Genomic DNA, 16,208 nt, shown 5'->3' with positions numbered 1-16,208 from the left:
AGCCCTCTGGCTGCACCGGCCTTCCTTTCCGGACACCCAGACGCTGCTGGGCACCCACACCACAGGTGCCCCCCACCCCGGGCCTGTTCCTGCCTGGCACCTCGGGTTCTCACACCTGTACCCCAGGAGACTCCACAGCCCTCTGGGAGGCGAGCAGGCCCCTGATCCACTCCCAGTGTCGGCTGAGGCTGGCTGGCAAGTGAGCGGGAGGATGGTGCCGAGAGCTGGAGGGGCTGCTGGCGTGCTGAAGAGCAGGCGCCCTGGGCGTGCAATGGGGGCCACCTTGGCCAACTCTCTGACTCCCCAGACCTCCACCAGGCAAGCACCTTGCCCTCTGGTCTCCCTGGCAGTGGCTGGGCCAGAAACTGGCAGGGAGAGTCTGATGTTGAAGCCTCTACAGGGCCCAGCTTGAGCCTGGCATCGACCATCGGCTCAGATGAGCCCTTCCCTGCTGAGGCTGCTCCACTCCTGGCTGCCAGTGGGTGGGGCGTAGTGTGTGACCCAACAGGCACGGTCTGGGGCAGAGGATGCCCTGCACCAGCGTCCCCACCCAGCAGGACCCTCCATTTCAACTCCACAGCCCCTGCCATGTGGCTTTCCGCTGCCCTCGAGCACCTCACACTTAGGCCCCCGCCGCCTTTGGACCTCTGTCCCCACAAGGCTTCGTCCTCAGGAGCACCTGGCCCAAAAGCAGACAACCCCCGAGCGGCACGGGCCGTGTGGTGACCGCTGGTGGTGGTGACAGTGCCACTGCCCTGGTCACCTCCTGCCAGGTGTCCCACAGGGCCCCTGGTGTGCTGCGACGTGGAGTGGGCCTAGCAGGGAACAAGTGGCCCCGCCAAGCTGGGGGCCAGGCCCTACTCGCCTGGATGGTGTGTGAGGCCCTCATGCAGGTGGGATCTAGGAGGAGGGTGTGGTGGGCACAGGAGCATGAGACAAGCTTGTTAGAGATCTGGTGATGGGCCCCATGAGGCTTCTGGACGGTTGGGTACACAGGGCTGGTGATGCCGGCAGGAATGAGGCGGCCTGAGAGCTGGACAGGGGCTGTAGGAGCTGAGGGCCACGGGGGTCTCGGCAGCCCAGGAAGGAGGTGCTGGGGGCCTGCTCCCAGTATACCACTGTCCCCATGGGGTGTGCCTGGGTGGTCTGGTGCTGACCAACAGCAGGGCCAGCCCCTCACACAGCCCTTGATGAGTGTCCCCAGGCTCCTCTCTCTCACGGGTTCCCTCCCCAAGGTCGGACGTACGAGAAGGCAGCTCTGGAAAAGCCTGGAGTCCCATGGTTCCAGTGTTGGGGCCTGATCTTTGAGCCCAGGTAGCCTGGGTGCCAAGGGGGCTTCCAGCCCTGGGAACAGGACAGCCAGCACTGACCACAGGCAGAGGACAGAGCCACACCAGTCACTGCAGTTCCTGGGAGATGCCCTTGACACATACAGGCCAGGCCAGCCGCAGGCGGAGGGAGGACCCACCGGGCCACAGTCAGTTCAGCTGGGCCTCATGGTCTGAGCCAGGGCCTCATGGTCTGAGCCAGGGCCCAGCTTGAGTGCAGCTCTGCCTCCAGCTCCACACCCTGCTCCAGGCCTCGAGCCCTGCAAGGCCCCATCTGGACCAGGGGCTGCGCTCCAGGCTGCAAATGGCGCAGGCACAGCAACTCACAACCAGCTTCGACAAATCTAACGGGAAGCGTGTGTTTGGCTCACGAATGTGTTAGTGATTTGGATGAGGGTGCCTCCCTTGTTTGTGTGCCCAGGACATTTAAGAATGTGGCACCCACAAGGGTCCGACCCACTGGCGAACGGCCTGTACACCAGGCTCTGCAATCGTCCCAGTGAAGGGGCACCTGGGGGTGGGCGTGGGGCCCGCAGCCCTACAGCTCGGGGCGGAGGCACTGATTCGCAGCAGGCCAGGCCCAGGGGCTGGTGGCTGCCCCATCCCATTCACATTTTCCACTCAGTTTGCTAGGGGCAGAGCAGCGCTGGCAGCCGGCCCCACTGGGCTTTACGAGCTGGCCTGGGTCTGAGCAGCCTGTGGTGCTGGGGCAGGGGGAGGGGGCTGAAGTGCGGCTGTCCCCCTGGTGTGTCCTGGCCAAGGGGGGCAGGGGGAGGGGCTGAAGTGAGGCTGTCCCCCTGGTGTGTCCTGGCCAAGGTGCACACCCAAACCTGGGCGCCTGGGTGGGATGGAACCAGAGCCCTCCTGGGCAGGTGCGGCATGGCAGCCCTGCGTTCACATGGGCTCGTGGTCCTGGGGTCAGGCCACACAGCCACGCCTGCCCAGGGTGTCAGCCTCCTCTGTCTGTGCTATGGCCCCAGGCAGGTGTGTAGGACCTGGAATGCTTCATGTCAGGCACCTGGGCAGCTCTTACGTGTGGGGCTGTGAACACGTGCCAAAGGCCGCTCTGCTGGGGCAGTTTCAGGGACAAAGCTGGTCCTGCCATGGTTGACCCCAGCCTATACCCCAAAGACTCCACACAACTCCACTCCCAGGAGAAGGCACCACCCGGATCCTGCCTGAGCTGCCACACGAAGCCCCCACCAGCTGCCTGTGTTCAGCACCACCGTGCAGACCGCCCGCAGAGGCGAGGAGGGAGGCCTTCACAGCCAGTGTGAGAAGGGTGGCCATGGATGTCACCACTGACAGCTCAGCCCTGCACCTGGGTGAGGCGCCAGCTCCCTGGAAGCAAAGTCACTCCCACACTCCCCGTGGTTCAGATCTGCCGTCCGCCCCCACCACGCGCGTGCACACGCATGCCTGTGCTTCCGAATCAGTACTGGAGGTGGGAAGTGGGGACCCAGATACCTGCAGGGTTCCAGGTTCCTGGTGGCTAGGGCTGGACTGGCACCCCTCCTTTCCTGGGCCTGCAGGTTCCGGGGCAGCTGGACACCCACGGTGCAGCTGACGCGCAGCAGAAGCACCACAAACAGCTGGGGGTAGAGCTCGAGCACCGCGGGCCCCGCTGCAGGCGTGGACATGACCTCAAACAGTGCACAGGTAGCCTGGGGGAGAAGTCATCACAGGGCCATGCCTCCCTCCAGGCCGCAGGAGATCTGAGCCCTGCACCCAATGAGACTGCATCCCCCTTCGCCTGCATCATGTGCTCGGAGGTCTCAGATCCCAGCTGCAGCGCAGGAAGGGCGAGGCGCACCACTGCATGGCTTGGCCCTCAGGGGTAGAGGCAGGAGACAGGGACAGAGGGGCAGTCAGCCTTCACAGGACAGACCTCAGGCCATCTGTTCTCAGCTCCTCAGAAAGGAGGAGGAGGGAATTCTCACAGCTGCTTTACTGCTTAAAACACTGCCAAGCTGGGTTTATTTTTTTTCCGCAGGATAAAACATGAAGTGGCCTCCCCTGGGGGCCCACACCTGTGAGGCCTTTACGAGCCTGAGCTCAGAGCTCCCAGCCCGGTGCTGCCTCCAGGTGCCTGTGGGGTGGCGTCCGGGCCACCTCATCAAAAGGCCTGCCCCCGGGCACCCAGGCAAGCGGGGCAGGGACAGCGTGTCAAGGTGGCCCCGAGAGCCCGACTCACCGAGAGAGGCAGCAGCGTGGCCACGCGGTCTGGGGTGCGGCCCAGCAGGAAGGCCCGGCTCTCCTTGAAAGGGACGTCCCTACTCATCTTCTCCAGCAGCAGCCCCAGGACCTGGGCAGCTAGGCGAGGCTCCACCGCCAGCGCCCGCCACAGCATGCAGGTGTGGCTGGAGCAGAGCAGGAGAGTCACTTTGAGGCCGTGGCTGGTCAGGGCGCCTGCCCCCCGCCACCTGGGTGCCGTGGACCCTGGCTCCACGACGCTCAGACACAGCCACCAGGCTCAGCTGCAGCCAGCTGGGAAATGGCCTCTTGGCCTCAGATCTGAGCTCACCCCTTCCCCTGACTCCAGGGATCTGTAAACAGAGCTGGTAATAAAGGACACAGAGAAAAATCTGGGCCTATACACACAGGGCCCAGGGCAGTGGTGTGGGAGGTCCCTGGGGAGCTACTGGGAGGGAGAACAAATCTTCCCTGGAGGAAGCAGCATCTGGCCCAGGCCTCAGGACGTCACAGGGTCAAAGAGCGCAGCTCCCAGGGAGACCTGGCAGTGCTGCCAAGAACACTCAGATGGCACCGCAGACGCACCGTGAGGCAGCTACGCTCAGCGTTTGCAGAAATGAACAACAAACTCTGAATATGACGGGAACTGAAAATTCTAAAAACAGATACAGCAAATTTGAAAGAAAACCAAACAGCTCTTTTAGAAATGAAACACTAATGTACTCAGTGGACATATTTGGTGCCAGTCTAGATACAGTAGAAGAGAGAAACAGTAAATAGGAAGATTAAGAACTTACCCAGTGAATAGGAAGATAAAAAAATTTCAGATAAATTATTACAGAGAATAACGTGGGAAGGCAGAGGACAGAATAAGGGACGCGGAAGATGGAATGAGGGCTAACGTACATTTGATGGATGTCCCAGAGGCAGAGGAAACAATGGCTGTCAAGGAGTAGGTTGGGGTTTTCAGAACTGGTGAAATATACTGACCTACAGACAGGGAGCCCTGAAGCCGCCTGGCAGAACAAAGGAAAAGCAACCCCCACCTGCAAACTACAGATGAGCAACAAGCAGGCAGTGGCTTCCTGGACAGATGCGGTGCTAGGAGACTTCACCTGGCTCTCAGGAGCAACGACAGAAGCCAGAAACAGTGATGTGCTGTCACACACCTGAGCAAACTCCACTGAACTAGGATACTAAGCCACGGAAAGAACAGTCACAAGGGATGGCCAAATAAAGACATTCTCAAGTAAACAAAGGCGGACAGTGTGTCACTGATCCTTGTGGTGGGAATTCCAGGAGCGTCCTTCAAGCAGAAGGCAAGCAGCAGAGGGCTGGGCGTGAGTGTGGGGAGCAAATGACCTGGCAGGAAACGTGGACAAATGCACAGGAGGGCAGGCACACAGCACGCGCCAGCAAGGACGCGGTGGCCGTCGCTGAGGCGCCAGGAGGCCACAGACTCAGCCACTGTGGGCCCCCATGAGGCTGCATACAACAGCCAAGCCAACCTGTGCCCAGGGAAGGGCTGGCAAGCTTCTGACCAGGACAGACAATGGCTCAGGCCTTGGGGGCCGGGTGGCCTCTGGCAGCTCATCAAGCCTGCCGCTGTAGTGCGAGAGCAGCCACAGACAGCGTGGAAGTGGACGGAGCGGCTGCTTCCGGAAGCTTTAACTCATGGACACTGGAATCAGGATTTCCTATCATTTTCACGTGTCATGAAATATTCTTTTTGTCTTTTTCTGACCATTTATGAATGTAGAACCCATCCTTAGCTCACGGGGTGGCAGGGTAGAGATGGCCACAGTGACTCCACTTCTTTTTTTTTTGAGACAGAGTCTTGCTCTGTTGCCCAGGCTGGAGTGCAACGGCGCGATCTCAGCTCACTGCAACCTCCACCTCCCAGGTTCAAGCGATTCTCCTGCCTTGGCCTCCTGAGTAGCTGGGATTACAGACACGTGCTGCCACGCCTAGCTAATTCATATATATATATATATATATATGAAATAAATTTTATTTATTTTTTGAGACGGAGTTTCGCTCTCGTTGCCCAGGCTGGAGTGCAATGGCCCAATCATGGCTCACTGCATCTTCCGCCTCCTGGGTTCAAGTGATTCTCCTGCCTCAGCCTCCCGAGTAGCTGTGATTACAGGCAGGCACCACCACGCCTGGCTAATTTTGTATTTTTAGTAGAGATGAAGTTTCACCACGTTGGTCAGGCTGGTCTCGAACTCCCAACCTCAGGTGGTCCACCTCCCAAAGTGTCGGGATTATAGGCGTGAGCCACCGTGCCTGGCCAATTTTTTTTTTTTTTGAGACAGAGTTCTTGCTCTGTCGCCCAGGCTGGAGTGCAGTGGTGCAATCTCAACTCACTGCAAGCTCCGCCTCCTGGGTTCACACCATTCTCCTGCCTCAGCCTCCCGAGTAGCTGGGACTACAGGCGCCTGCCACCTCGCCTGGCTAATTTTTTATATTTTTAGTAGAGACGGGGTTTTACCATGTTAGCCAGGATGGTCTCGATCTCCTGACCTCGTGATCCACCCACCTCAGCCTCCCAAAGTGCTGGGATTACAGGGGTGAGCCACTGCGCCTGGCCATGCCTGGCCAATTTTTATATTTTCAGTAGAGACGGGGTTTTGCCATGTTGGCCAGGCTGGTCGCAAACTTCTGACCTCAGGTAATCCTCCTGCCTCAGCCTCCCACACTGCTGGGATTACAGGTATGAGCCACAGTGCCCGGCCTTGATTCCACTCCTATATACACACGAAAGAGAAATGCATGCTCTACCCACCAACAGACACTCCCAGGAACATTCAAAGCATCGCCATCCCCAGCAGCCCCAAACCAAAAAACAATCTGAATGTCCATCACCTAGAAACACACACACAGTGCAGCCCACACGGCACCCAGCACTGTCCGGCAAGGAGAAAGGATGGGCAGCAGCACCCGGCACTACCCGGCAAGGAGAAAGGATGGGCAGCAGCACCCGGCACTGCCCGGCAGAGGAAGGATGGGCAGCAGCACCCGGCACTACCTGGCAAGGAGGAAGGATGGGCAGCAGCACTGCTGTGCTAAGCAGAGGCCGGGAAGACCCACCACACAGCACAATCGCCAAAACCTCTAGTGGTGGCGGTCAGGTGGCCGTGACCCTCTAGGGGACTGAGGGGCACACAGGAGCCTGCTGGGGACCGGACACCTCCTCTGCCTTGACCTGGAAAGTCCTGCAGGACCCAGTGACTCCGTGCTTGCCCTTTGTGTGAGCCACGCCTCCACGGAAAACGAAAACAGTGATTGATGAGCCAGGCGGTAATCACGGAGGAAATACAAGTCAACGCCGGCTGTGCCCAGGAACAATGGTCATGATGACTCGGGCGCCCAGCAGCCCAGCCAGACCCAGACCTCAGCCTGCATTTGGGGCCCATGCTGGACTTCAGTGAGGACACATGCAGCCACCTTTAGGGCAAACGCTAAAAGAAAAGCAACAGACTGCAGGATTACAAACTGAGTGGAGAAAGTGAGGTAAGAGGGACACTGTCAATCTAAAAAAGGACAAGAAAGAAGATTTTTAAAAAACAAAATGTGTAACAAAGACGCAAAAGATATGACAGTGGATTTAAACTCACTCTTATCAGTAACAAAATGCAGCTATTTACCATGCAAGAGATTTAAAACAAACACACAGAAAGGTCAACAGTACCAGGAAGGAGCAGGGCCACCAGACAAGTGCACCTCTGAGCAGAAGGTGCCTGCGGGTCCCCCCTGCCAGGAGGAAGTGGGCATTGCAGCTTGGATGCACCTAATGGGAGGGCGTCAGAGCACATGAAAACAGCAAAGCTGACAGGGTAAAGGGCCAGGTGCAAGGAAACCTGTGTTCCCCGTGGCAGCCTCATGCCCCCGCCTGCCAGGGGAAGGGTCACTCTGCCTTGCCCAGCATGGAGTCTCCCGGAGGTCACAGGAAGCCAGGTGCCCCTGGGCCAGCCTCTGTCCATGACTAAGATGGCAAAGAAAGGAAGGGCCAGCAGACCCATGCTCCGGAGGCCTCGGCGAGGAAGGGGGACCCCAGTGGGCTGGTGGGTGGTAGACACGCCCTGCCCTTTGCTGGGAGCTGGGAGGTGTGAGCTTGGGAAGACATAGTGATGTATGGTACAGACAAGGTTGTCCTTGGGCTCCTGAGGGGGCTCAGATCAGGCAGTTCCCAGGGGTCTGCTCACAGGCAGCAGTGGATGCCCTGCAGAGGACAAGGCTTGGAGTAGCCGGAACCAAGACACAGGGTGAGGGGCAGCCTCCAGTGTGTGCTGGAGCCTGGGGCCAACAGAGCAGCCAGGCAGTTTTGGGACCTTAGAGGAAGGCAGAAACAGCAGCTTCCCTGTGGGGGTGCTGTGCAGGGCCCACCGGAGCCAGTGAGGATCCCAAAACGCCTGGAGAGGAGAGGTCCCCGTGGGTACCTGAGAGACTGGGGCCTGGCTCCATGTCACTTTCTGTCCCACGTGGCCTACAGCCATGGGAACTCATGCAGAAAGTCGGGGTGCAGAGCCGGGTGGAGGGCTCGGGGAGCATCATTCCAGGGGGAGCATCATTCCAGAGGGACCCCTAAGCCTGGAGTCTGAGCTGGGTACCTGTCCAAGGGCAAGGGGCTGCCCAGGAGGCTGGACACCACGGCTGCGCAGTGCTGGGTGGCCAGGAGGTACACGCTGTGCTGGGCGGCCGGCAGGACGTGCTCTCCCTGGGCCTCCTGAAGCTTGGAGCGCAGGACGCTCACGATCTCGGGCACCTGTAGATGGGCGGGACACGGTGGTCAGGCCACGCGTGGGGGACAGCTGTGGGCACACCTACGCCAGCCCAAGGGGGTGGGGCCATGAGGGAGCCCCATGAGATGCAGAGCTCCATACTGCTGGTTCCAGCCTGAGGTAGGGCCAGGATCCCCCGTGGGCCACGGACAGCCCAGAAGCCAAGGAACTGGAGCCACGACCTGGATTCTGCGTGCAAAGTGGCCAGTGCCCCGGGAGGTAGAGGAAGCGCCAAGGGCACATGTGGCCCAGAGGCTGGTTCGGAGCTGGGCAGGCATCCAACAGAGCCAGCGGCCCCATGCCCTCACAGCACGCCTGCTGGGTGCAACTCTCAGGCTCCCCTGGCAGGCCCACCGGAGGCAGGACCCACACAGCTGCCAACGGCACTCCTGCGGGAGCTGGGCTGGGGACGTGGCGGGAAGGGAGAAGGAGACAGATTCCCAGACCGAGGATGGAGCTGGGCCTGAGACGGAAGGATGGGACTTGGGGGGGGCTGTGAGTTTGCGACTGTCCTGCTGCTCCAGAAAGCAGGTGAACGGAACGCGGGGGAAACGTGGGCAGGAGGACGCTGGCCCTGGGACCCCCAGGCCCACCACAAGTCCAGCAGCAGCATAGCATGAGCCTCACTCTGGGGGACGGCCTTGTCACGAGGGGGCTCCCTGCTCATGATGGGTATTGGCCTGGGAGTCTCCTCTCCACCCTCAGCCATGGTGACCCCTACTGCCAAATGCTTACTGCACAGCTGGAAAATACCACCATGTTGGGTGAAAACAAAGCAATGGGCCATGAGGTCAGGCTTGCCTCTCCCTAGGGGACGGCTGACACCCTGTGGGCTAAGGGAAACATGAGCGCTTTCACCCGCCTTTTCACTTCCTTTTCCCCCCTTATTCTCTCAGCACTTGTTTTTGCCAAATTCTAACCCCTGTCTTCAGACATAAGAGAAAGATTTCTCCATGGTAGTCCTGTAGGGAGAGGGGGCAGAGCAGTGGGGGTCACACCCGAGGAGGGCTGGGCAGGGTGGTCCAGGACAGGCCAGGGCCAGCCTCACTGTTTTCTCCCGCAGTGCCACCTCTCCAAGAGCCACTACCCCACTCCTGCCCTGCCCGTCCCACCGCGCCCTCTCCCACCTTCTCCTGGAGCACCCCCCGCGCCCCGCCCTCTCCCACCTTCTCCTGGAGCACACCGCCCCGCTCCTGCAGCAGGCAGTTGATCATGACGGTAGCTGCTCGGGAGCAGTTCTTTTCGGGGTCTCCCAGGGCCTCAAACATGGTTAGCAAGAGGCTGATGAGCTGGTCTGGGGGGAGGCGCTTGGCAATAATCTAGGAGGAAGGCGATGCCAGAGGTTGAGGGAAGGGGGGCACCCCCAACGCCACTTCTGTTAGGCATCGGGTCTCAGGGGCTCGCGTTAGGGCGGGAAGCCACACCCCTTCTTGCAGCCGGGCCCCAGCCGCTGGGCCCTGCGCCTTCAATGAGCTCGCTGCACGGGGGTGGGGTCTCCTTCTCCGGAACCTGCCAGGGCCTGCTGGAACCTGGGCGGGCTCCTGGAAGGTGGTGCCTGGGCAGCTGCAGGGCTGGGGTCACAGTACCCTCCCTCAGGCTCCTTCTGACCAGTGAAGTGGGCTGGGAGCAGCCCTGTGGTGCAGTCGCCCTGGAGCTCTCTAGAACACGGGGTCAAGGGCAGGTGAGCCTTAGCTCACACCTGTGATCCCAGCACCAGAAAAGGCCCTGGTGACCTACCCCTCCTTCCTCTGCAGGAGACACAGTCTCTGGACCTGGAAGGCCATTCCTAAGCACCAAATGGAGACAGGCCGTGTTCCAGCTTGGGGACCCACATGAGAGCACGGAGGGAGGGGCAGCTTTCTCATCCCCTTGGAAGGACTCTTTTTTTCCCCCCCGTAATGCAATACTTTAATAATACTCAAGCTTGTGTTGTGAGCTGAGCCTCAGAGTAGACCAGGCAGGCATGGGTCGGGGAGGGGACGCGGTGCCCAGGGTCATCCTCCCTTCAGATGGCAGTAGACAAAGCACCTTGACCAGCTGGAACCAAGGGCAGGCCCCTTGGCAAGAGGGCTAGAGCCCGCTGCACCCTGCAGGCGATGACCCTAGCCCCCCACGTGGCTCTTGGGTAGCCTCTGGGGACAACACCACACAGGGCAGCCGCTGAAGATTCTGTTCCAGAAACCTGCATCTTCATGAGCAGGCCAGGGTATCAGTGGCAGACAGAGGGCGGCTGTGCCTCATGGCACCCCATTCTCTCCTTGGCCTCTGCCAGGTCTCAAGACAAATAGCACCTTCCTCTCATATGGACTGCACTGCCCCAGCGTAGGCGGGTGTGGGTGATGGGGCCAGCGCAGGGCAGCGCCGGCAACTAATGCAAACACCCAGGCCCTGCTCATGCCCACTGGCCATGGGTGGCACTTCCAGAGGCTAGGGGAGGCCAGGTGCCACCTCGGAAGTCCCTGTTAGCCCCAGACAGTGCCAGCCTGCCTTCCGGCCGCAGAGCTCCCAGCTGGTACCTGGCCTACACTGTGGCAGGTGTGGAAGAGAATGGCGGGGTCAGGGTGCACGAGGCCGTCCTTGAGGCTGAGGAGCCGCTCCGCCACGTCATCGCGGTAGTCCCGGGAGAAGCCTGAGAGGCGGCAGGAATGAGCAGTCGGGCCCAGGCCCTCCCTGGCGATCCCACAGCCTGGACTCCGCACCTCATCCCTCCAAGCACCCCTGCACGACCACTGGCCCCCACACTCCTGACGAGGGCTCACCCTCATAGCCGAGCTGGAGGTACAGCAGGGAGTAGACACAGTCCACGGCCTCCTGGCGGGTGGCAGGCCACAGGTCCGCACACCGTGGGGAGAAGAGGCCGATGAGAAGGCCCAGGTTGTGGAAGGGCACCAGGGCCTGGAGGAGGAGATGCCTGGGCTATTAGAATGCTGGGGGTGGGTGGATGCCACCTATGCCACCTGTACCCAGAGGAGGGCTGGAGTGTGGCCAGGAGTGCTGCTGGTGTCCACGAAGCCCTGGGCCCTCAGTGTGGCCAACACAGCTCCCAGTGAGTTCCTCCCTCCCCTCCTGCTGCAGCGTGGGCGCTGCTCAGCTCAGCTCTGACCACACCTCGTCTACACCAGGGCCACACAGGCTCCCAGGCCGGGCCCCTACAAGAAGGAGGGCCAGGCCATGCCGACGTGGGCACGCAGGCGTGTGCAGGCAGACGGACAACTGGGGTGAGGAGGGGGCCCCAAATGGGAGGAGTGCACGGGCTCTGCCAATTTGGGTGAGGGGCAGGACTGTACAAGACCCCCTCACACCCTGACTGTCCTGGTCCTGCCTTCCAGAGCCTTTCTGCTCTCCTCAGTCCTGCTCCTCCCATGCTCCTATAGGCAGACAGCTTCCTCCTACTTCCACACCTCCTCCCTGGCAGACGCACCTGTCCCCCTCCCACCACCTGCTCCCTTTTCAGCCCCCACGTGCGAGGCCTTCCTGGGAGGTGCTCCCACCCTACCCTTGCACAGGATCCTGGGCTCAGATGGAAACCTGGTATCTACTTGGGCGCCACTGATGAGAAAGAATTTCAAGTCAGAAGGGAAAGGCTGGAATGTTAGAGAAAGACTGCAGGGTGACCAGCCATTGTTCTTAGACTGGGCATCCATCACATCATGCACCAAGGTAAGCTTCAGCCAGACCAGGGTTATGTGATGAACAGGCCATGAAAGTATGAGGTGGGAAGAGCCCTGAACACACGAGATTTGACCACATAAAGAATGAAAGTTTCGGCAGGGCGCGGTGGCTCATGCCTGTAATCCCAGCACTTTGGGAGGCTGAGGTGGGCAGATCACTTGAGGTCAGGAGTTCAAGACCAGTCTGGGAATTCAAGACCAGTTCAAGGCCAACAGGATGAAACCCCATCTCTACTAAAAATACAAAAATTAGCCGGCAGTGGTGGTGGGCGCCTGTAATCCCAGCTACTCGGGAGGCTGGGGCAGGAGAATCGCTTGAACCCAGGAGGCGGAGGTTGCTGTGAGCCAAGATTGCGCCACTGCACTCCAGCCTGGGTGAGAGCGAGAGACTCGGTCTCAGAAAGGAAAGAAAGGAAAGAAAGGAAGGAAGGAAAGGAAGGAAAGGAAGGAAAGGAAGGAGGAAGGGAGGGAGGGAGGGGAGGAAGGGAGGGAGGTGAGGGAGGGAGGGAAAGAAAAAAAAGAAAAGATAGTTTTGGTGCATTAACAAAAGGCCAGGTGCAGTGGCTCCCATCTGTAACCCCAGCATCTGTCATCCCAGCACTTTAGGAGGCCGAGACAGGAGGATCACTTGAGCCCAAGAGTTCAAGACCAGCCTGGGCAATGTAGCAAGACCCATCTCTACAAAAAATAAAAGAAAATCAGCTGGGTGTGGTGGCATGCACCTGTAGTCTCAGCTACTCGGGAGGCCAAGGCGGGAGGATCACTTGAGCCCAGGAGTTCCAGGCTGCAGTGAGCTGTGTTTGCACCATTGCACTCCAGCCTGGGCAACAGAGTGAGACCCTGTCTCAGGGAAAAAAAGAGAGAGAAAAGAAAGCCTAGAATAATCCTGACAGATGATAAAAAGATATTTAGCAAAATCTAATACCTGTTCCTGATAAAAGTTCTCATTAAAACAAATAGATGCTTCTGGAACATGATAAAAATATCGCCAACCAAATCAAGCACCGCGCTCAACAGTGAAGCCCTGGAGACCAGAGGTGCATGTTCCTTCCGGCTAACAGTGGACCCCTGATGACAACGGACTCTATTCTGAGCAGCCATCCCTGACAACTCCTGGCCCTGACAGGCCCTCAATCCAGGTCTCAAGGAAGAGGACTGTGGCCTGAGCTGGGGCGGCGGCCAGAGGAAGCCAGGAAGGCAGCTCACACTCTGGGTCATGAGTAACACAGGCAGCAGCACCCGGGCCAGGGACCCAGGTACTCACGCTGACACGCAGGTGCTCCAGGAAGTAGCGCAGCAGGAGGGCGCTCAGGCCCAGGGCCCGCGCCCGCTCGTGACCTCTTGGGGACTTGATCCATGGGCTCAGGTGCTGAGGAAGAGGGGCGTCACACAGGTACTGCTCAGAGGGCAGCCCTGGGGGCAGGAGCCTTGTGCATCGTGGGCCAGCTCAGTGTCCCTGCCAGGCCATCCTTCCTGGGCTACAGGGGGCCAAGCCGGGGACCCAGAGTGGTGCCAGCCTTAGGCCACCGTAGCTCCTCTGGCCCTGCCACTCTGTCCTCCAGTCTGGTCACAGACACAACCCAGCCCAGGTGGATCCAGGGCCAGCCAGGACTGTGGAGGGACAGGGTGGAGGCCACCTTGGTCCTAGAAGAACACACTCCGAGCATGGGGGTCGGCCCCACCCTAGCACCACCCTGGTAGCGGCCCCCAGTCAGGAGCCATGGGTACCCGTGGGCCCCTCCATCCCCGCGCCATGCAGTGGCGGGAGAGGACAGGCTCCAGAGGTCCCACCTGGGTCAGGGCCTCCCCAACTGCTTGCCAGCCCAGATGGGAGGGGGTGCACCTGCCTGTTCATAAACCACCCCCAAGTGCAGAGAGCACCAAACTGTCCCTGTGGTGCCCACATGTGGAGAGAGGGCCAGCAGCCAGGTGGAGTGCCCTCTGTGCCCCCATCCCCATCCCCATGACAGTTCCCCCCTGCACACCTCAATCATGATCTGCAGGCCTTGGGGGGTCATGTTCCGCTGCAGGAGGCTCGTCAGCAGATCCTCAAGGGCGTGCAGTGTCTCCAGATACAGGGACTGGAAGGAGAGCCAGGCCGTCCAGCCCCACCAGTGACCCCGCAGCCTACAGTGGCCTCCCACCACTCTCACGGATGTGGACACAGGCAAGGGAAACACAGGGATACCTTCTGGCAGCCTCCGTCCTCCTCCTTGGGCTCAGGCAGCAGGGCCATGATGCTGTGCAGGCAGCCATGGATCACATCCGCCCGGGCCTGCTCGTCCAGCGCTGGCTCCACGGAGCTGAGAGGCAAGTTAAGGGCCCCAGACAATGATCCTAAGGCTGAAACTCAGACACCCAGTAACCTCCAGGCCTGTGTGGGCAGCACAGCCACTGCCATGTTTACTCTGCTCCAGACCATGGCGGCACCCCATGCAGCATGCGCACACACAAGGCGTGCACACACGCAAGCACAGGCACACACACGCACATGCACACGCGCATACACGTGCACACACAATGCACACACATGCACGCACACACGCAGCTGCACGGGCCTGTGCAGAGGCAGGAAAGGATACACCAAGTAAGTGCAGGTGAGCATGGCTTTCTTCCGAATAGGTGTCCTCAAGGAGTCCGGGGGCTCTGCCCTGATGAACTCCTGGGTGAGGCAGGTGCATGACTCAGCCCTTGGAGGAAACGCCAGCTCTCCTCCCTGGTCAAGCTCTGTCCCCCAGCCTAAGTGACAGGCGGGGCCCGAGGAGCAGAGCCCCATGTGTCCCTACATGGCCCCTCCCATGTTCCCAGGCTGTCTTCACATTATCACCCTCAGTGCCCCAGTCCCCACCTCTGGCCTCAGTCTCCCAGGAACCTGCCTGAGGACCTGCCAGGCCACGGCCACGCTCACCATCATCTGTGCCACCAGCTCTGCTTTCCGGGTGAAGTGGAAGGAGCCAGCCTGGGTGCTGCTGCAGATGGCGCGGCTGACCATGCACACACTCTGGACAAGGCACAGCTTCAGGGCTGGGTCCTGCAGGGACGCAGGGCTACAGGAGACGCCCACGCCCGCCCTCCAGGGCTGAACCCGCGCATACCCCCTTTTCTTTCCTCTGAAACCAGAAGTGCTGCACTCTGCTCTCAAAGGAGCTCTCTAGCCAGCCCTTTTGCTTATCAAAGTCCATGTGGAAGAAGCGGGGGGCCACCCAGGGGTTCCCCCATGTCACACTCCAGAGAAGACAGGCCACAGAGCAGACACTGTGTGGTGTGACCAGAGGGCCCCCCACAGCAGGAGAAGAGTCCTCCGGGGAGTGCTGAAGGGCTGGGAGAAGAACCTCTCAGAACAGCCCCGCCCTCCCAGCCACCGCAGGAGAACCAGAGGGCCTATTCTTCAAGGAGGGGCTGACTGTCCTGAGAGAGGGGCTTGTCAGGTTAGTGCCAGGGAGGCCAGAAGGGAAACTTGTTAGTGAGGCTGGGGTGAGGCCTTGGGGGCCAGTGGAGCCTCCACTGCCACTTCCACTGGCTTTGGGCCTTGGCCCCTCTCCTAGGTGCTCACTGGGGTCCGGGGAGGTACAGCCCCCATGAGCACTGGGGAGCAGAGCCAGAGGAGGTTCCAGCTGTCCTGGGACGGGTGGGGCTGGCTGAACTCCCTGGGGGGCGACAGCCCACGACCCGGCCCCTCGGAGGCGCAGACGCCTCCCTTCTTCCCACTGCCGTCCAGGGCCCAGGCCAGGGAAGGAGCCCTGGTGATGCTCTCGAACGCCTCCTGGGGACGGAGACCAGGAAGCCCCAGCAAGCTCCAAGCTCCCCCTCCGGCCTCTGCCTATGAAGCTCAACCCGCCCAGAGGAGAGCCGAGAGGAGAGAAGCCAGTCCAGCACTTAATTCCTACACACTGTACCTTGGTTTCTACCTTTATTCCTAGAACCTGAACAACAAAAAGTGAAATGAGTTAAGACGTGACTCCCCGGCAGCCCCAGCTCCCCTGCGTGGCAGGCCCACCGCAGTGCCCACCTTGGTGCTGAAGTGCTGGCAGATGTTCCGGAGGATGTCTGACTCTACCTTGGCCAGCACCAGCTCCCGGGGGGCCCGGGCCGCCACGTGCCCATAGCACAGGATCAGAGCACTCTTCACCTTCTCCACTTCGTTCTCACTTCGATCCTGAGAGGCCAGAGGAACCAGCGGGACTTCAGTTACACAATTACACTCCCCGACGGGAATCCTCGGCTCAGAAACT

General features: G+C 60.2%; 1 protein-coding gene across 41 annotated transcripts in view; it reads right to left on the bottom strand.

Annotated features, from left to right (window-relative positions):
• MROH1 (maestro heat like repeat family member 1) overlaps nt 1-16,208 on the bottom strand; it is a 113,911-nt gene that overhangs the window by 3,426 nt on the left and 94,277 nt on the right. For 19 of the 41 annotated variants that reach the window (XM_047422170.1, NM_032450.3, XM_047422189.1 and 16 more), the window contains 13 exons: nt 15,986-16,132; nt 15,873-15,899; nt 14,885-15,007; nt 14,559-14,638; nt 14,165-14,279; nt 13,962-14,057; nt 13,241-13,345; nt 11,065-11,200; nt 10,822-10,934; nt 9,472-9,624; nt 8,135-8,289; nt 3,523-3,688; nt 2,796-2,992 (listed from right to left, as the gene is read on the bottom strand). In XM_047422170.1, the coding sequence (XP_047278126.1) occupies nt 2,796-2,992; nt 3,523-3,688; nt 8,135-8,289; nt 9,472-9,624; nt 10,822-10,934; nt 11,065-11,200; nt 13,241-13,345; nt 13,962-14,057; nt 14,165-14,279; nt 14,559-14,638; nt 14,885-15,007; nt 15,873-15,899; nt 15,986-16,132 (1,613 nt within the window). Of the gene's footprint in view, nt 1-2,795; nt 2,993-3,522; nt 3,689-7,126; nt 7,315-8,134; nt 8,290-9,471; nt 9,625-9,654; nt 9,964-10,223; nt 10,343-10,821; nt 10,935-11,064; nt 11,201-13,240; nt 13,346-13,961; nt 14,058-14,164; nt 14,280-14,558; nt 14,639-14,884; nt 15,008-15,872; nt 15,900-15,985; nt 16,133-16,208 lie in introns of those variants that run through there. The other 22 variants (XM_047422176.1, XM_047422179.1, XM_047422182.1 and 19 more) reach the window with 5 other exon arrangements.

Source organism: Homo sapiens, chromosome 8 (assembly GCF_000001405.40).
Source record: "Homo sapiens chromosome 8, GRCh38.p14 Primary Assembly".
In the NCBI taxonomy this organism is placed as follows: domain Eukaryota; kingdom Metazoa; phylum Chordata; class Mammalia; order Primates; family Hominidae; genus Homo; species Homo sapiens.
The sequence above is the reverse complement of the archived record's forward strand: the minus strand, read 5'-3'. Positions and strand labels throughout refer to the sequence as shown.